The sequence below is a fragment of the Homo sapiens genome, chromosome 5 (assembly GCF_000001405.40).
Source record: "Homo sapiens chromosome 5, GRCh38.p14 Primary Assembly".
Taxonomy (NCBI): domain Eukaryota; kingdom Metazoa; phylum Chordata; class Mammalia; order Primates; family Hominidae; genus Homo; species Homo sapiens.
This window is the reverse complement of record NC_000005.10, coordinates 73,072,955-73,093,956: the sequence shown is the minus strand read 5'-3', so window position 1 is coordinate 73,093,956 and position 21,002 is coordinate 73,072,955. Positions and strand designations below refer to the sequence as shown.

Sequence of the window (21,002 nt, the reverse complement as noted above, 5' to 3'; positions counted from 1 at the left end):
AAAATATATTCCCAGAAAAAAAAAACAAACTGATCCTGTATCCACTTAGGGAAAACAAAATATGACATTTGGCTTTGAGACCAAAAAGAATAAAAATTAGATCAGCAATCTACTTCATACGTTAACAAACAAAACAAAACAAAACAAACAAAAAACCTGGCTATATTGGTAGGACCACGTAAGGCAAGGCAATAATCAAAATAGGAAGATCCTTATGTGAAGAGATCTTTGTGCATCAACAGAAAGTTCAACTTGCACTCTATGCAACTATTTTCCAAAACATAGTTAGTTTATAATTGTAGATGTAATATGTACTAATTATAAAAAAATTTAGATAACACCTAACATATTGTTAAAAATAAAAATCCCACCACCTATAGATTATAACGGCTTGGTGAATGCTTTTGCAAAAAGTTTTGCTCTAGATGTATGCTTTTTTTTTTTTTTTCCTCACTCTGTCACCCAGGCTGGAATGCAGTGGTGCGATCTCGGCTCACTGCAGCCTCCATCTCGTGGGTTCAAGTGATTCTCCTGCCTCACCTCAGCCTCCCAAGTAACTGGGATTATAGGCATGCGCCACCATGCCTGGCTAATTTTTGTATTTTTGGTAGAGATGGGGTTTCACCATGTTGGCCAGGCTGGTCTTGAACTTGTGACCTCAAATGACCTGCCCGCCTCGGCCTCCCAAAGTGCTGGGATTACAGGCGTGAGCCACTGCGTCTGGCCTGATGTATGCACTTTTAAAAACAAAAATGGCATATTACCTTTTACCATTTAATAATATTGTGGTAATATCTCAATATCAGTGACTGTGGATCTTCACAATTATTTTTAAAAGCCGCATAGTGTATCACTATATGGGAGTTATCAACTCAGCCAACCCTCTCAATTTTGCATACTATAAACAATGTTGCAATAAACATCTTTGCATACATAATTTTGCTTATGTCTCATTATTTTCTTAGGACAAATTCCCAAGTGAATGACTAGTTTACATGATACATAGATTAAAAAAAAATTTTAAAGCCTTTGGATTCAAATCGTCAGAAAGATTATACCAGTTTACTGTTCCTAAAAAGTTGAATACTTAATTAAGTTCATCCTGCTCATTGCTGAGTTCACACTATTTAAAAAATGGGTTAAAAAGTTGATTGGGATAGGTGCAGACTTGCTTGGCAATATGCTATATGGAAACATGCCTGTACCAGCAGAAATTCTGTGTCTGATTGCTGGCCAGCTTACTTCCAGCCATTCCTAGGCCCTTCTCCTTTACCCACCTTCATTATGAAGGCTACTTGTTTTCTCTGCCTGTCTTACATAATTCAGGCCAACAGAACGTAAACAGATACGAGCTGGGAGCTTCTGGAAAAACTTTTACTCTTCGTACAAAAAAAAGACAGACATACTGGAACTGTCCCTCCTAGCTGTGGATGTAAACACATACAGTCTGGAGCTATGGCTGCCATACTCCAACCGTAAAGAAAGGGCGAATGACTTGTTCTGACCAATGCCAACAAGAGGTAACTTGAGCTGTGATATGAAAAAAATGTTTAAACCAGGGGACCCCAACCCCAGACCACAGACTGGTAGTGATCTGTGGCCTGTTAGGAACCACGTTGCACAGCAGGAGGTGAGCAGCAGGTGAGCAAGCATTACTGCCTGAGCTCTGCCTCCTGTCAGATCGGCGGCAGCATTAGATTCTCACAGGAACGGAAGTCCTATGGTGAATTGCGCATGTGAGGGATCTAAGTTGTACGCTCCTTATGAGAATCTAACTAATGACTGATGATCTGAGTGGAACAGTTTCATCCTGAAACTATCTCCCCACACCGCTTCATCCATGGAAAAATTGTCTTCCACAAAACTGGTCCCTGGTGCCAAAAAGGTTGGTACTGCTGGTTTAAACCATTCTTAGTTCTGTTTCTGTTACTTGAGGCTAAAAACATTACTGACAGATAAAACACTCATGCTAAAAAGATAAGCAGTGGTTTCTGAGTTATCACAAATGTTCATTCAGAAACGATCATTAGGAGGCGTATGGAAATAATTATATATATTTAAAAATATGGATAAAATAGCTACATACAGTAAGAAATCATGGAAAAAACCTTTAATACTGAGAGCCACTGAAACCATTAAATGCACATTAGGAAAAAGGAACAAAGAAAATAACAAAATGGAGCAGGGGTGGGGTACATGGCAGAGGTTTACTCTGTGTTTATCAAAACCCCGTTTTCTTCCTGGGCACATAACCAAACTACATTTCCCATCTTTTTTTGCAGTTGGTTGGAGCCACAAGATCAAATCCTGGCTCATGGAATATGGTCAGAAGTGATGATGCCAATTCTTCTGGGCCTGGCCCATAAAAACTCCCATCTAATCTTTGCTTTTTCTTCATCTGCCGGCCAAATGAAGATTTTAAGCAGAATCACAGAATGGGAAGAGCCTGGGCCCCTGAATTACTATATGGAGCAGAACTCCTCCTCAAACCTACTTATGACTGTGATAAGAGCAATGTAGTAAGTATTGTGCTTAGCTATTGCAGCAGCTAGCATCATTTAGTCTAACAGAGGTGGGAATGGGATGAAGAGGAAAAAGGAAGAAAACGATGGGCATATGGTATGAATGGTGAGTGCTATCAGATCTTTCCACAGGTTCCTCTGCCCTGGCCTACCTAGATAAATTAAGCTGTTCCTTTTTTAACACAGATTGGCAACATTTTTTCTTTTTTTCAGACAGGGTCTCACTTGGTCACCCAGGCTGGAGTGCTCTGGCACAATCTTGGCTCACGGCAACCTCCACCTCCCGTGTTCAAGCACTTCTCCTACCTCAGCATCCCGAGTAGCTGGGACTACAGGCATACGTCACCATGCCCAGCTAATTTTTATATTTTTTGGTAGAGTTGGGGTTTCACCATGTTGGCCAGGCTGATCTCGAACTCCTGACCTCATGTGGTCTGCCCACCTCGACCTTCCAAAGTGCTGGGATTACAGTAATGCGCCACTGCACCCAGCCCAAAATTTTCAATAGTTAGGATAAATTCTTTCTTTTCTAATTTCCTTCTTTTGCTCCTTCCTAAATTTACCATTTTGGGAGGCTTGATTGTCTTAACTAATTCTTTGGAACATTATGATTTTTGAACTGTCTGAGACTGTGTTCCTGAGCAACTGGTTAGGAAGAAAGTCTGCAAAAATTTAACATCAATTTAAATATATCTTAAAATATATTAAAAATAATCCCTTGTTAAACAATTTTGACACTTTGGGATATACTCCAAATGAAGCTTTCTATATAACCAATAAATAACAGTTCGATCTGTACGCCTGTTCAAACAGTAGTACAAAGTTAAAAACCAATTACTTGGCCAGCTTGCCTTGTCCTAACATTATGATATAGCTATTACTATCAAGTACAAAGACACATAAACCAATTGATAAATTATATATTACATGTTTATTAAGAGCACAACTTTTATGTAAAATTTACATTTAATGAAAAAAATCAAAAATATTTACAAAATCTTGGAAGACAGATGTGCATTGTTCTAATTACAATCCAAAGTAGTAAATAACAATCCTTTAAAACTCACATTTATTAGAGTTGTGTTTACAAATTCTTGGTTAAAGAGGCAGCTACAAAGTTTATCACTATATATAAGCAAGAACCAGCTTGCTAGGTACATTTCCCATTGAAAATCTACTGGTCTCTTTTACACCATTAGTGGATTTTTAAATGGAAAAAAAAAATCAATATAAACTCATATGGCTTCAAAATTGTAACCTGTACCCAATACTTGGTATGAAGACTGTGGTAACTAAGAAAGTGCAGAAGTTTAACCATTTCACTAATTTGTACATTTTTAGGTAATATTTGATTAAAAACAAACACGGTAAGAACAGTGTCTGAATTCCAATAATAAAATATTGGCTGCCCTAAAAGCAGTTTGATTGCAAAGCAAATTACAGTTAGAATTCCAGTAAGGGACTGTAATTGGCATTTAAAAGAGCACAATATAAGAGTTAGAAATTCTAATTTAGCTCACTATTTAGTAAAGATTAGCATTTTAGCAAATTATCTTATGTGCTGCTTTAGTCAAATGTAAATTCAGACTTGGGCTAACATTGAATATATAAAAAAGCATATACTGTGTTATATATTGCTAAAGAGTAGATTTTCTGCTGTATTTAGTACAGCAAGATGTTACATAAATGTCTAGTAATAGAGGTTTTATTTTCTGTGAAGCTTAACGGAACAATTAGTGGTTTTATATAAATTATCATATATAACACAATTTATCACTTCTACTAGGCAAATAAAGGACACTCATATTTATTATTATAAATGAAATTCCCATTTGTAAATTATGAAACCTTATCCGAAATATTTTATTTCTTCAATTAATCAAGATTTGCTACTAAAGTTAGGTTTCTTACTATTTAGTATTGGTAGTTTATTTTTAGAAATGTTTAACCAAATATATCACTTCAAATAATTTCCCTATTTTTACAAAGTAGAAATTGAATAATTAAAATGTACAAATTGGTAATTTTTCCAATTGTTGAAATAAAAACAAATGGCAGTGCTTCTCCTTCTGTTTCCAAAATTAATCTTTTAAAAAATGCATCCCTCACAAAATACCATAAAACTCATGTTCACAACACAATCAGTAAATAAATGCATAAATTTTCAATGATAAAGTATCAAGGAAAATGCTAAATTGAGAGTTAAAATACCAGTTACCAATTTAGCACTATAGTTTTTTTAGAATTTGTTTTAAAATTCACACACTTTTGATGAGGTTAATGTCAAGTATCTGAAGGTAATCTTTCTTCCTGTAAACACATGCCATTGGGTTTATTTCTCTTTCTAGTGGCTACAGTGTATCACCAAAGAAGTGAGCCAGGATTCTTAAGTTAGGCTTTATGACTCTGAATCCCCTTCCCAGTTGCAGGCCAAAAATATTTACAAAAATTGCAAATATCTTATAAAAATGCTTGATCACTGTAAGATTCTGAACAGAAGATTCAGACTGAGAAAAAAAGTGAGGCACATTAATGAACACAAATTGTATAGGCACATCTCTGGTTTTTGTTATTGTTTTAAAAGGCACACATTATGCAATTCCATATAAAAATAAATTAAATCTACAGCATTAATTCATCAAAAAAATCACAACTCCTATAAAGTTAACTAACTGCAGAAGTAAATGTCTCTGCTGTCATTTGCAAGCTTATTTTAAAACACATTGCACTTGAGAATTTTTTTTAAAAATCATATAAAACATCACTTATACTTTATTAATATGTTTATGAGAATCAAATTATAGATTTTTTGCATACAACTTGGACTCTGGTCTGATTACCTTATGGCACATAGCTCAATTTGATTAAGTGTTCTGAGTTAACATTACCCAAAACTTAGAATTCATGTTCTATTTGTATCCACTGAATATCAAACTTATGAAATTTCAAAGTTATCTCTGACTCTAAAAATGTATGGAAAGCTAAATTACTTTGTGCTTGCTCTTCTGAAACTTTAGGCCTGATATTACACTATAACCCTTTTTTTCAACATAGACACTGGAAATAATTTAAAAATTAATCCTACAAAAACTTCATTTTTACTGAGAATCTGAATAAATGTGCTTCCTGAATATTGTAGTTGATCATTTACAACATAGAGAATCATTTCAGTACTATTTATTTCAATGACTCACTTTAAAAGTGCGATTTAATGTTTGTAGTCAGCTCTCAAATATGTCTAAGTTTGAAAGACATCATACAAGTTAAAATAGTGTTTGGAAAGAACAGATAATGCAGAATGGCAGGTTTGTAATCCCTGAAGCCACATCACTTTCCCAGGTCCATCAACAATCCGCCAGGTATCGTCCTGAAAAACGCCAAGCAGACCTTTGCAATTACAATTTCAAATGCACTCTAAGGACATTTTCCACTGTGGTTACCAATACAAAACTCTAGTTCCCATCTGCTATTTACAGTACATTAGAATCAGATAACAGGTGTTCAGCTATACTGACCGTAAGAACTCTCTCCCAGGTGTGTCTCTACCTGGCACCTTGTACCAAGGGTTAAAGAAAAAATTTCCATGTCTTTAGATTATAAATTGCTTGACAGTTTTTTAATAACTGTTAGAATACAAATGTTTCCCATGTACATTAAAAAGTTTGAAATCTCCTAACTTACCAGTAGCAAACCGCTTCTTTATTAAGGAAAGCCTATAGCCAGTGCCCACAAGTTCGAAATCTACTCCTGAAAGGGTACTTCCCTCGCTGAGGAATTGTACTGCAAGTGTCGTGGGTTTACTAGGTCCTTCTGAAAGATCAAATTTTGCTCGGAGGGACCCAGAACCTACAAAGAAAAGAATAAAGCACTTACACAGGGTAAAATACATTTCAAACAAAATAGAATCAAATGAGCAAGTAAGCTAAACTACATCAGTCCTGTGCTACATTCATTAGATGTGCACAGTAAACAAACTATTATCCTGTTTCCAAATCTCATATTTTTTAGTGAATATCAATTTTCATTAAGTAAATAACCCATGCTTTTCTTTGACTCAATACTAATCTTCAGAGATGTTAACTACTGGACTCCTATGCTATATGCATGTTGAGGCGAGTCAAAAGAGAAGAAGGAAGTAACTGAGGACAGCCCAGAGAAAAACCCTAGGAGGGATATAGGTGGCATAAAGTTAAAAAAGAAATGACTACTGAGTAGTAGAAGAAGTAAAGATGGAAAGGTAACTACGGTTGGGAAGAGTTGTATAACATTGCTATTTTCTATTCACTTTTCTTTTTAAAGTTTTACTGGTCTAACATAATGCCAAGTAGGTATTTCTGAGGTGTTTTGTTTCTAGTATCATCACCATTTATTCAGTATACTTCAGTCTAATGGAATGGCAGGAACAGTAAACCAATAATTATAATGAATATTATAAATGCTGTAAAGGAGCTCTGAGGAGCTACAGGCACAAAAGCACCTATCTCAGCTGAAAATTATAAATGGTGGTGGGGATGATGGTGTGTATTTTAGGCAGAAGTTACCAAAGATACAGAGACAGAGCATGATGCATTTAACGAAATAGCATCTATATCAGATTAGCAGGAGAACAGGATACAGGTAGAGGGGAGTGGCAGATGAGACTAGAGTGGTAGCATGGGCCAGGCCATGGTAAGAAATTCATGATGTAACCATGGGAAGTCACCAAAGATAAGGAAGACAAGAACATTTCAGATTAGTGTCTCAAAAGGGAAGAGAAGCACAAGATGCAAGGTTGGGAGACCAACTGCAAGTCAAAACAGTTTAGGACTCTAGATGATAGGAAAGGGGGATCTGAACTAGGGCTAATAAAAAGGAAAGATATTAAGAAAGTTATTTGAAAGATATTTAGGAGTTGGAATCAAGAAATGAGAAAGGAGGAGTCTAGGAGGGTTCCCAGGTTTCTGGATAGAGCAAATGGACAGAAATGCTAGGTACTAGCAGTAAGATCCTGTGATCCCCTGCACAGAAGCTTAACACTACACAGAGAAATGGAGAATAGGATGTCACAACATTGATCCAACTTGTATTATTATGCCTGGAGGCATAGATCAGTAGTGGAGATGAACTGCTGCCTTATTCTTAATTACTATCCAGGCCCTCAAACTTTTACAATTCTTGATAACCAATTTGGTTGTGCAAAAGTTCTACCATAGACCAAGAGCAACAACCTTGACAATCACCTTAGAAATATTTCCTGTCCCTCTTCTGAGTACACAGTCAGCAACAGAAAACAGATTTCTATTTTACAGAATTTTTTGTGTTTTTTTTTTTTGAGACAGAGTCTCTCACTCTGTTGCCTAGGCTGGAGTGCAGTGGCACGATCTTGGCTCACTGCAACCTCCGCCTCCTGGGTTCAAGCGATTCTCCTGCCTCAGCCTCCTGAGTATCTGGGATTACAGGCGCACACCACCATGCCTGGCTAATTCTGTATTTTTAGTAGAGACAGGGTTTCACCATATTGGCCAGGCTGGTCTTGAATTCCTGACCTCATGATCCACCCGCCTCAGCCTCCCAAAGTGCTGGGATTTCAGGTGTGAGCCACCGTGCCCAGCCTATTTTACAGCATTCTTATTTATTTATTTATTTATTTATTTATTTATTTATTTATTTATTTATTTTTTGAGACAGAGTCTCCCTCTAAGGCCCAAGCTGGAATACAGTGGTGCAATCTTGGCTCACTGAAACCTCTGCCTCCCAGGTTCAAGCTAGACTCGTGCCTCAGCCTCCTGAGTAACTGGGACTACAGGCACGTGCCACCACACTTGGTTAATTTTTGTATTTTTAGTAGAGGCAGGGTTTTGCCACATTGTCTAGGCTGGTCTCCAACTCCTGGCCTCAAGTGATCCACCTGCCTCAGCCTCCCAAAGTGCTGGGATTGCAGGAATGAGCCACCATGCCTGGCCTTGGATATTCTTTTCAAAGGCTTGACTAACCACATCAAAAACCACATTTATAAGATTTTTCCATTTCCTCACAGAAACACCTGATACCTGAATAGCAGAGGGAAACTTAAAATCTGGTTAGAAAATTTGTATCTCATTTTTTTATTTTTTGAGACGGAGTCTCTGCGCCAGGCTGGAGGGCAGTGGTGCGATGTTGGCTCACTGCAACCTCCACCTCCCGTGTTCAAACAATTCTCCTGCCTCAGCCTCCCGAGTAGCTGACACTACAGGCACGTGCCACTACATCCAGCTAATTTTTGTATTTTTAGTAGAGACAGGGTTTCACCATGTTGGCCAGGATGGTCTCGATCTCTTGACCTCACGATCTACCTGCCTTGGCCTCCCAAAGTGCTGGGATTACAGGCATGAGCCACTGCACCCAGCCTGTGTCTTATTTTTGAGAGAACAAATTTCTTTCTTGTTAATTATTTACAATAGTATAGTTTCATTATATTGGGGAAAAAGATCCTTTTGTCCTTCTAAACTGGTTATAAGCCCTTAATGCAAACAGGATTGCTGGTTTACTTCAATTTAAACTAGGAATTTCAGCTTGGCTCACAAAAAGCTATATATTAATAGCTAGGGTTAAAGTCAATGCAGTTGGCCAGCTGAAAGTGGGCAACCTATAAGTACCAAACAGCAAAAAAGAAACTGAAGATTTGCTTGGTTATTTCACCCAATGTATGGCTCTCCAGTAAAAGTCTTATTCTGCATGGCAGGTGTAAATGAATAAACAACACAGACATATTTACGGTCCTTTCTACAGAAATATCTATGAGAAAAGCTACTGATATGTTTTATATTATGCTCAAAATATTCAAAAAGAAAAAGCTCAGCAACATTTGAAAAGCCAAAAAACCTATCAAATAGAGGAGTTATTGGAGACTAGGCTGAGCATGGTGGCTCATGCCTGTAATCCCAGCACTTTGGGAGGCTGAGGCTGGCAGATCAACTGAGGTCAGGAGTTCAAGACCAGCCTGGCCAACATGGCGAAACCCTGTCTCTACTAAAAATACAAAAATTAGCTGGATGTGGTGGTAGGTGCCTGTAATCCCAGCTACTCGGGAGGCTGAGGCAGGAGAATTGCTTGAACCTGGGAGGCAGAGGTTGCAGTGAGCCAAGATCATGCCGCTGCACTCCAGAGTGGGCAACAGAGCAAGGCTCTGTCTCAAAAAAACAAAACAAAACAAAACAAAACCAAACCCTAAAAAAACAAGCAGAAAAGTTATTGTAGACTAAAATTATGCATTCAAAAGAAGGCAGAAGAATTCTCTTTTGATTAAGAGAAAATAAGACTATGTTAAAGACTTGGCTGTCCCAAGAATTACATCCTTATTGTAAGTTGAGTTATAGAAGTGATCAGCTAGGACAGCCTTTTCCTTGGCATTATGAACACAAACAGATGTACTTAGTGAGAGAAGCATAACTTGCTTCTCCTTAAAATAATCATCAGAAAATTGAATGCTGCTGATAGTTAGCTTTAATAGGGGGAAATGGACAGGAAAAAGGTTCTTTTAGAGAACTGCAGAAGGCAAGGGGGCTTTTTTTTTTTTTTTTTTTTGAGACAGAGTCTCACTCTGTCACCCAGGCTGGAGAGCAGGGGCACCATCTCAGCTCACTGCAACCTCCGCCTCCTTGGGTTCAAGTGATTCTCATGCTTAAGTCCCCTGAATAGCTGGAATTACAGGCGTGCACCATGACGCCCAGCTAATTTTTGTATTTTTAAAACAGATGGGGTTTCACCATGTTGGCCAGGCTGGTCTTGAACTCCTGACTTCAAGTGATCCACCCACCTCGGCCTACCAAAGTGCTGGGATTACAAGCGTGAGCCACTGTGCCGGGACGGCAAGGGGCTTTTTAAAGCCTGGAAGCGTCTACATGATTTCTGGGAGGTCAGGAGAATCCCGTTAACAGAATGAACTAAACTGTGTTAAATCAGTTTCAATTAGTTATCAGGTTACCTACATGGAACATAGAGTTCTATTTCTTTAAATTTACTAGGTATAGTTTCTTAATGTTAGCATGTAAATATAAGAAGTATTTACATAATATTTATAAAGTTATGGCAAAATAAATTTTTTCTTATAGAGAACACATACTCAATCTAGATGAACAAATGTGTTCTGAATCTCAGCTGGTCCATTCTAAAGGTATTAACTTCCACCTAGTGGTCATTTCTAGAACTGAGGGCATGAAATTCCAGGAGGAAACTTTACATAAACTTTCCCTTAAAAAAGGTATTGCAGTGCTTCCAGGAACGGTGCACCCATGGCCAGGCGCAGTGGCTCACGCCTGTAATCCCAGCACTTTGGGAGGCCGAGGTGGGCAGATCACGAGGTCAGGAGATCGAGACCATCCTGGGTAACATAGTGAAACCCTGTTTCTACTAAAAAAAAAAACAAACAAACAAAAATTAGTTGGGTGTGGTGGCACGTGCCTGTAATCCCAGCTACTCAGGAGTCTGAGGCAGGAGAATCGCTTGAACCCAGCAGGCGGAGGTTGCAGTGAGCTGAGATTGTGTTACTGCACTCCAGCCTGGCAACAAAGCTAGACTCTGTTTTAAAAAAAAAAAAAAAATCAATTTTCAGTGACATCATTTTATAAATAAAAAAGGACACACACACTTACCTCCATTTTCTGATTTTTCTGAAATACTAGACAATTTCCAAAAGGCTTTCATTTGTTCTGCATTCCTGCAATAAGAACAGATATCTTCAGGTTTTGTGTCTAGTATAGTACCTGATACATGAATGGGACCTCAATAAATAAGTGTATTTTAAATATTTTCACTACAACAAATATATTGCTAAGTTTAAGTAGTATTAACTGGTGAAAATGTGTTTATGATATAGTATAAACATAATGCTGTATCTTTTTCAATTAATGGAAGTTTACCAAATTATGTAATTCTTCTCATTCCTATTGGTCAGAGAAAGTAAAATGGAATGTGTATAGGGATCAGTACCTTCATTAGTCAAGGAAGACACATGTTATTAAATGATGAAGTAACTATAAAGAGCGGTTAGAGTCTATACTAATACTAACAGAGGGGACAGGAGAAGTTGCTAAGAGATGGCAGTAACTAATACTATTAAACACTAATTAGATAGGTGTTCCTGTTCCTATAGACTTGCCAGATGCTATATTTAATCCATAAAATATTTGTATTTTTTAAATGAAAAAAAAAAAAAAAGAAGTTTAGAGAGGTCAAGCACTCTGCCTAATGGTAAAGTTAGTATGGAATCATTGAAGTCTGGGTGGTACTTAGAGCAAAACTAGTTTTGTTTATTTTTGATTAAGGTTACTATGGTTTGACTAGTAAAATGAACTGCATCTTTTACAGCGTGGTTTCTATGGAAAAAGGCACAAAAATTTTTCAAACTTCTAAGAAAACTTACAGAACTTGGGTTCTAGAAGTTGGGGATTGCAACAAAAATTTAGTGGGAATTCAGAAACGTATGTTTAATTTACCATATTGCAGGGGGAAGGGACTGCATGTTCGTTACTCCTCCATCCACTGGTACCACCACCTGTATGTTGGAAAGCACACTAGGTGCCACCATAGCTTCTGGATTGTATTTATAATCCACTCTAAGATCTGTGGTGCTAGCACTACATTTCCAGTATGTTGCAAGATTCAGAGGAGTGGACTGAATACCATTTGATGATACCTTTAAAGAGAAAAGAACAAACAATTGTTTTTGGCCTGAAAAGTTAAGAAGTCATGTTAATGACATGGACACTTGAACATGTAAGTCCACAAAATCAAAAATATCTAATGAGGGGACTATCTGTTGGCAGAGTGAAGCAGACCTATCTCAAAGGAGTAAGGATCATTCTCAATGTGGGGACCTACTACTACTTACATCAAAATTGCTGTGGTGCTTGTTTATAACACACATTCCCTTAGCTCCAACTGCAGAAAATCTGATTCAACAGCTTAGGGACAGGGCCCAGAAATCAGCATTTTATGAAGGAATTCTTAATTATGCGTGTAAAGTTTGCGAATCTTCCAACATTCAACACAGAATTCAAAGATTCTTCATACATTATAAGAATTCAGATTTAGAACACGAGAAAAAAGGTCACCACGTAGTACCACAAGTTGGAATTAGAATGCTTCCAACTTCAAATGTTTAATCACATGACTCACAGTAAATGTTATAATTCCTTCAAATTCTTAAGCTCCTTGTCCAATGGCTCCTTTTTAAGGAGACCTACTCTGACTGCTCTGTTTAAATTTACACTGAAAACTGTATTTTCAATCTTCCTTACCTTAGTCTATACTTTTTCTTTTTTCCATACCACTCATTTTCTAACATAGAATATTATGATTATTATTTTGAGGCAGGGTCTCACTCTGTTGCCCAGGCTGGAGTGTAGTGGCATGCTCATGGCTCACTGCAGCCTCAACCTCCTGGGCTCGAGCAATCCTCCCTCCTCAGCCTCTGTACTAGCTAGGACTACAGGCTTGTGCCATCACACCCAGAGAATTTTACATTTTTTGTAGAGATGGGGTTTCTTTTTATTGCCCAGACTGGTCTTGAACTCCTGGGCTCAAGCAATCTTCTCGCCTCAGCCTCTCAAAGTACTGGGATTATAGACCAGAGCAACAAAGTCCAGCCCATAGAATATTACTGATCTTTACTGTCTCCCTGTCCTACTCCCAGCAATTACATGCACTGAATAATACACATCTGTTGAATAAATGAACACCTGTAAGAAACTTTAAGTCAATTTAAGTGGCAGCACTTTTTTGTTCTTTAAGTATTTTTCTAGAAACAAGCCATTTTAATAAAATTACCCTATTAAAAACTAAAAAAATAGAGAAATATAAAGTAGGAAATTTATCCCTTGGAATCCTGGCATATATCCTTCCAGACTCTTCAGGCATATGCAAACATAGATCCATGTCATTCTTTTTAATGGCTATAGTAATTAATTTCCTCCTCTGCTGATGTGTATGTACTTAGGTGCTTTCTAAACAATGCTACAGCGAATATCCTTTATGCCTTATCTTCATCCAACTGTGTATTTCTGATGATTTCTGGAAGTGGAATTGTTGAATTAAAGGTTACATCTTTCAACAATCTAACAGAATTGCCTTCTAAGAGGTTTTACTTGCATCCTATTAACAAGTGATCATAACCTTCTTAATACTGGATAAAGCGAACTTTCATTTTTGTAAATCTGATGGGCTAAAACTGACACCTCATTGTTATCTTAGTATTGACTGCTCTCATTACTACTGACATGAAGCATCTTTCCATAGGTTATTTGTCTATTGAGTTATTCACATGTTGCTTACAAATTTACAAGGGCTCTTTGGGGTAAGCCCTGTGGTTCATCTTATGTGTCGTAAATACTTTTCCCACAGATTAAATACTGATTGTGTTTAAAGGTTTAACAAAATATTTTATAAACACACACATTTATTTATCAAATATCTCATTCTCTTCTTACATGGCTTCTGGGTTTCATATCATACTTAGGTCTTCTGTACTTCAAGATTAAAATATGTAATAAATATGTATTACATATATACACACACAGAGAAATACATATACAGTTGTTCCTCAGCATACTTGGGAGGGTGGGTTCCAGGACCCCTGTGTATATACTAATCTGTGCATACTCAAGAAACATAGTTGGCCCTGTGGGACCCACATATAGAAAAAGTTGGCCCTCTGTTTATACATGAGTTTTGCATCCACAATCATTGCATTTTCAATTGGTGTTTGGTTAAAAAGAATCCTCGTATAAGTGGACCTGCATAGTTTATAGATCCTTTTTGTTTAAGGGTCAACTGTATCTTCACCCATGCCTTTATTTTAGTACCTTTATGGTATGGTATCTTTTATTATTATTATTAAACCTTTGATACACATGGATTTTACTTTGGCTAAAAGTCTAACAGGGATTCACCTTAATTTTTTTCTCAAGTGTCTAGCTTGCTATCCTCAACATCATTTTTTGAAAAATTCATCACGTCCACATTGCCTTGAAATGCTACTATGTCGTATAAACAATTTTCCATTTATTCTTAGATCTATTTCTGGATACTCTAATCTATTCCTTCATCTGGCCATCTACTGCTGCGTTAGTTCCAAACTATTTTAAATACTGTCTATACTAAGCTTTCCCATTAAAGCTAAAACATTACTCCACTTTACTGTTTAAAACATTTCTTGCCAGGAGCGGTGGTTTGTGCCTTTAGTCCCAGTCACTCGGGAGGCTAAGGCTGGAAGACTGCTTGAGCCCAGGAGTTTGAGGCTGCAGTGAAATGTGATCATGCTACTCTACTCCATTCTGAGCAAGAGAATGGGACTCCATCTCTTTAAAATAAAAAATTCTTGACTTATTCTTGTAAGCTTTATTCTTCTAGAGAAACGTGAAAATGATTGTCAAGCCTCCAAACACAAAGACGTAACTCTACTGGGTTTCTGATCAGTATTATATTAGATGTATAAGTTAACTGAGAAACAGCTAAACTTCTACAGCATGAATCTTTCCATATTCAAGTCACTAGAGATTGTGTTGTGTTTCTTCCTAATTGTTCTTTGTGAATATTTTTCTCCACTAGTTTTTGTAATTGGTTTTGAAAGTTATTAATTTTGGTATTAATTACTAAACTGACCACCTATATTAAATGTCCTTATGTCAAATAGTTCTTCAATTGGTTCTCGTGAGAGGAATATATCACCTGTAAGCAATAATAATTTTGATTCCTCTTTCCCAGTATTTATTAATGCTTATTTTGTTCTCTTACCTGACTGTACTGGCTAACACATCCAGAAAACTCTTATATACTAACAGGATCTACTAATGGGCATCTTTGCCATTCCTAACTTTAATTGATTACTTTGGGAGTTTCATTGTTAAGACTGATACTGCTAGTCTTTTCAGCTTAAGGACAAATTTATGCATTTAAATTTACTCAGTATTTTAATCATGAATAAATGGTGAATTTTACCAAACTGGTCAAAATCTCCACTGGCTTATAAACAGATTTTCTAATTTCAAAACATCCTTGAATTTCTGGGAAAAAACTCACTTGGCTATGACATACTTATTCATTTATATGCTAGATTCCATTTTTTAATATTTTAATTTAGAATTTTTGCAATGTCGTGACACTCACCTGATACTTTAATACATCTACATTATAATAAGAAGCAGCTGGATTTTGCTCTGACAGCTTCTTGAGGTAGACTGTAACAGCTTGCATGTTCATCCAAAAATCTTTTGTGTTGGAATCACATTGTGATGGATCACTACATATATAAAAAATATATTTGTTATTTTATTGACTTATCTTTATGTTTTGCCTCTGTGTAGTAATTTGGTGACACAGGAAAAACTAGTAGAAATAAACCAAGAGGTGGGATGAAGGAAAATTAGATCAGGGGATGAAGAATGGAACACAGGAGAAGCTTGCTTGAAAGATAAGATGGAGAGAGAGAAAAGAATCTTAAAATAACTATTAGCACCACTGAAAACAAAATAAAAAGACAGCAGAAAGGTGTTTAGTAAGAATAATTTTGGTATGGTTTTCAAATTGAATATTATTATTTCAAAGAAGAAGGGGGAAAACATTTTTTTTTGAGACAGGGTCTAGCTCTGTCACCAAGGCTGGAGTGCAGTGACACGATCTTGGCTCACTGCAACCTCTGCCTCCTAGGCTCAAGCGATTCTCCCACCTCAGCCTCCTGAGTAGCTGGGACTACAGGAACGCACCATCATGCCCAGCTAATTTTTGTTCTTGTTTTTTGTTTTTTGTTTTTTTGGTAGAGATGGGGTTTTGCCACATTGCTCAGGCTGGTTTTGAACAACTGGGCTCAAGCAATCCACCTGCCTCAGCCTCCCAAACTGCTGGGATTACAGGCGTGAGCCACTGTGCACAGCAGGAAAGAAAATCTTAAAACGAAATTTCAACCTTCAAAACAAAAAGTACACAAACCTGAACACAAGCTGTGCATTTGGAAGAATCTGCTCTAGTCTGCTGATATTTTTCACCCTGAAGCACAACACAGCTGGAGTTGGATTGCTGGTGAAGACTTTAATAATTCCACTTGGAAATGACATTGTCATATCACCAGTGATCTTCACAATACACCTAAAACAGGGATTTTGAAAAGTGTTTAAATAAAATGCTCTAATCTCTATTTAAAGTATTTGGTTTAAAAAGGCACACGCGTGCACGTGCGCACACACACACGCACCTATATGTGTGTATATCTATATCCTTTATCATAACTATAGATTATTTTTTCAATTTAATTTTTAAAAATTATATACATGAAATAGTATACTCATCTAGCATCATCTTTTCCTGGAATTAAACTCTAAACACAAATGCAAGCACACTGATAATATTCCTTCACTTTTTTGTGATAACCATTCCCTCCCTGGAAGGATATTGCTTTCCTCATAACGCTATACCTAGTTGTGGCTATTTTTCCCTCCCAAACCCCAAAAAGCACTGGGCCTGGTGATGGTGATGGTAGCAAGGAGGCCCTTGCTCCTCATTGCTTCTTCCAACCCTCTATTCTTTCTTCCTTTGAAACATATAACTACATAGCCAAAACTCTCAACTGGACCCCTTTGGTAATCCTATCACATTTCCCAAGTCTATTTATTCTTCTTTTGGTCTTTTCCTAGCTTCCCCTTTTATCTCTAACCTGCAATAGTCCTTCCCCCAACTCTTAGCTGATGACTGTGCTCTTCATTTCACTGAGGAAATAAAAAAATAACTTCCTCATACTCTCACTAGTAAATCTACCTAACTTTTTATCCATATATTCTGCAGTCCATACTGTTTCAACAGATAATCAATTTCTGCACCTCAGGCCAATCCCAGCAATTCTGCACTGGAACTCATCTGCTCTTATATACTGAAGGACTTCATTCATGTGATTGTTCCCTCTTTTTTCTGCAAGTCCTGTTTTTCCATAAATAATGGATCTTTCCCATCAGCAGGCAGACATGCTGAAATATATATCATCTTTTAAAAAACACAAAAATGAAAATAAATAAAACCCTCCTTTGATTCCACCACCTCACTCCTGCTACCATTCCATTTCTCTGCTCCCACTTAGACCAAAACATCCTGAAATAACTGCATTTGTTCTTTCCAAATATAGTTGTCTAGACTGCATCACCTTCGGCTCCTGAACACTCTCAAAGCATACTTTCATCTCCACTATGCCACTAAAATCCTTCTTGTGAATGTCACCAATTATTGTCAATGGTCAATTTTTCTTGACCTGTCAAGCAGCATCAGATACAGGTTCACACCTGCCTTCAAGAAATGATTTATTCACTTAGTTTCTAGACACGGGTCTATTGGTTCTCTCCTCACCTCTCTTGCTGCTTGCTCTCTCAAATTCCTTTGTTAAATCATTCTCATCTTCCTGTTTTCTAAACACTGGAGGGAATCAAGACTTAGTTTTCAGATCTCTTTTCCATCTATTCCTTAAGGCCACTAATTTTGAGTATTATCTACAAACTAATTACACTACCAAGTATTTTATCTCTAGCCTAGACTTACCCCTTGAACTCCAGAATCATGTATCCAAGTATCAATTCAACATTTCCACTAAGATGTCTTAAACTTCAAACTTAGCATTTTGCCTCCAACAAATCTTGACAATTCTGTTCTCAAAATATATTCAGAATCTCATTACTACTCATCACCTGCTCTGCTAATACCCTTATACAAGCCACCATTATCTCTCACCTGGACTTCTGTAATTAATTTTCTAACTTTCTCTCTGCATCAATTCTGACTGCCCACCGCACCCTCTGCCCCCAGTTTATTCTCCATACAGCAACCAGCGCTCCTCTGAAAACACATGTAATTTCATCATTCCTCTGCTCAAAGCCTCCACTGGCTTTCCATGTTACTCAAAATAAATTCCAAATTCTTTATCATGGCCTACAATGCCTAACCTGGTCTCATACCTCTCCGGACTCATCTTCAAGTACTCTCCTGTTTACTCCTACTCAGTGACATGGTTTTGCTTGCTGTTTCTTGAATATACCAAATATGCTTTTACCTTGGTATCTTACACTCACTGGTTCCCTCTTCCTGGAATACTTTCCTCAGATATCTGCATGGCTTGCTCCTCCATGTCTTTCAACTACCTGCTTAAATTAACCTCAAAAAAGTTTACCCTGATCATTCTATCTAAAATAGTAGCCCTCTATCTAATGTTATTCTCTAGCCTCTAACCCTGGTTTATTTTTCTTCATAGCGTGTATCAATATCCAATACATACAGCTGTTTCTTTGATATTTAGTTTTCCCTCACTATAATGCAAGCTCAGGAGAGAACTCTTTTGTTTACTAAAGTATCCTCAGTGCACATGTAACAGAGTCTTAGAAATAATAGGTGCTCAAGTATTTGATGAATGAATGTACATTGAATGCAATCATCAAATGACTACCTTAGATAGCAAAAAAGCAGGTAAATAAACAACAGAAAACTGTAATCTACACAGAATCAAAATGTAATTCTTAAAATTTACCACCAAGCCCCACCACCTCCTCCACCCAACACACATACATACACATACATGCATATATTTTAAAAACTAACTTGGTGGGATCTGCTCCTTTAAAGTAGGCATTAACAGATTCTGTAAGGGCAACTGCCACAGGTAAGGTATCCTGATTTCCAAGGCTGACAGGGCTGGGACCCCGTGACACACCTAGAATATACACAATTAACTTGTTAAATCCTTCAGAAAGACATAAATTAAATATCAAGATAGTTAGATTCACATTGTTAGGCTGTCACAAACGACCCTACCACTGGTTTCAGTGATGTCCCATGATAAATCTGGGGGCTAAGAAATATAGTATAAAACAAACTGGAGCATTAATACAAAGGACAAAAAAAAACCAGGAAGACATGTCACACAGACATTTCTTTTAAATGGAAAGACAGAATGGTTAAGGAATGTCAGAATAAAAAAGCCCTTGACTAAACAGCTAAAATTTCAAAAATATTGGCTTCAAAAACATTCAAATACCAAATTCCTCCAGGTTCTATCAATCATATACTTCAGGGCATTATTTAAGGCCAATTTAGGATTTTTGTATTTAAGTTTTTCTATCCAAGTAGTAATGTTTCATACACTACTCATTATTATTATAATTCTCTTTAACCTCCTCTTTGTCTGATGCTTGTATTGTATTCCCACATTACTTTGCCTCAATATTTGACTAATAAATACTTGACTAATAACATTATTTAAAAAAAAAAAACCCTGGCCAAAGTTCACTCAGATAAGACACCTTTTAGAGTCAAATCAGAGAAAGATCAGTGTCTACAGAGCAAAATTAAAATGTAAACAAATTTATGCAAGTGTTCAGGTTTCTGTTTATTGTTTTAAATGTAACCTAAGTGAAGTATCCCCTCAAAATAGTGCATTGCCTTTGTTTTTCTTCACAAACGCACTCTTCTTACCACTGCGTGCCTTACTGCTACTGCTACTGATTTTCCAAAGTGGGAGCATTTCATTTAATAAATAAAATGCAATTTTATAAAAATATATGAGAGTTTGTTATAATTATTCATCCTTAGTGAAAAAAATAAATAATCTAGGTCAACACTTATCTCTGAAATTTGAATATATGCTTTCCTTATATGTTACACAACATTAACAGCCATCAGACATTTTTATTTCAGATGCGACTCCTGTAGTGAAACAATGAATTACCTCTGAGATACCGTAAATATTAATTCTGATAAAAATCAGTACTGGCTTTTTCTGCCTCACAACTAAATCTGAGATGCTATAAATAGTGAAAAAAGATACTCTGTTAGCTTGGTATTCTAGATTTTGAAGGAATTTGTATTTAGAAGCTTCTTCACAGTTAAAAAGTTATTCATGAAATCACAACAGCTACTATGTATTAACCACCATGTGCCAGGCACTTTGCTAGGGGGACATTTAAAAAAAATGGTGCCTTTTTGAAGCACAAGTACTAGTTTTGCAAAGCAGAAGCAAAACAAAAAATGTGAGGGAGAGGCTGGAGTGACAAAAAGACACAAAGATGAGGCTGGAAAAGTGCTCATGATCCAGATTAGGGTATGAAAGACCTTTAATTTTATCCTTTTGTCACTAGAAACCACTGATAATGTTTGAGAGAAACATTATTAGGCTTTTATGTAGTAAGATCTCTCTGAACACAGAGTAAATCCTAGATTGAAGGGAAAAATGACTGTTGGCAGGGAATCAAGTTTGGATCAGGTGAGAGCAGTTAGGTGAAAGCTAGTGGCCTGATCAAGTGTCATTAGTTTTGGGATGCAAGAAAATATCAAGTGAAAAAAAGCTGATTAAGTATACATTTACTGATTATAAATATAAAAATATATGTTTGTACACTGGAAAACTTCACTGTAAATCTAACTTAGTTCAATCCACTTTTTTCCCTAATATATTGTTCTAAACAAGAGGGTCATCAGAAATTCAGGAAAACATATTTTCTG

The 21,002-nt window shown here is 36.8% G+C and overlaps 1 protein-coding gene across 7 annotated transcripts in view; it reads right to left on the bottom strand.

Moving 5' to 3' along the window:
• Window positions 1–3,434: 3,434 nt before the first annotated feature.
• Window positions 3,435–21,002, bottom strand: part of FCHO2 (FCH and mu domain containing endocytic adaptor 2) — a 134,482-nt gene continuing 116,914 nt past the window's right edge. For 3 of the 7 annotated variants that reach the window (NM_138782.3, NM_001146032.2, XM_017009016.3), the window contains 7 exons: window positions 19,104–19,215; window positions 16,464–16,619; window positions 15,645–15,777; window positions 11,975–12,174; window positions 11,132–11,196; window positions 6,204–6,368; window positions 3,435–5,889 (listed from right to left, as the gene is read on the bottom strand). In NM_138782.3, coding sequence (NP_620137.2) covers window positions 5,867–5,889; window positions 6,204–6,368; window positions 11,132–11,196; window positions 11,975–12,174; window positions 15,645–15,777; window positions 16,464–16,619; window positions 19,104–19,215 — 854 coding nt within the window. In that variant the 3' untranslated portion in view covers window positions 3,435–5,866. Of the gene's footprint in view, window positions 5,890–6,203; window positions 6,369–11,131; window positions 11,197–11,974; window positions 12,175–15,644; window positions 15,778–16,463; window positions 16,620–17,377; window positions 17,508–19,103; window positions 19,216–21,002 lie in introns of those variants that run through there. The other 4 variants (XM_017009017.3, XM_017009020.3, XM_017009021.3 and 1 more) reach the window with 4 other exon arrangements.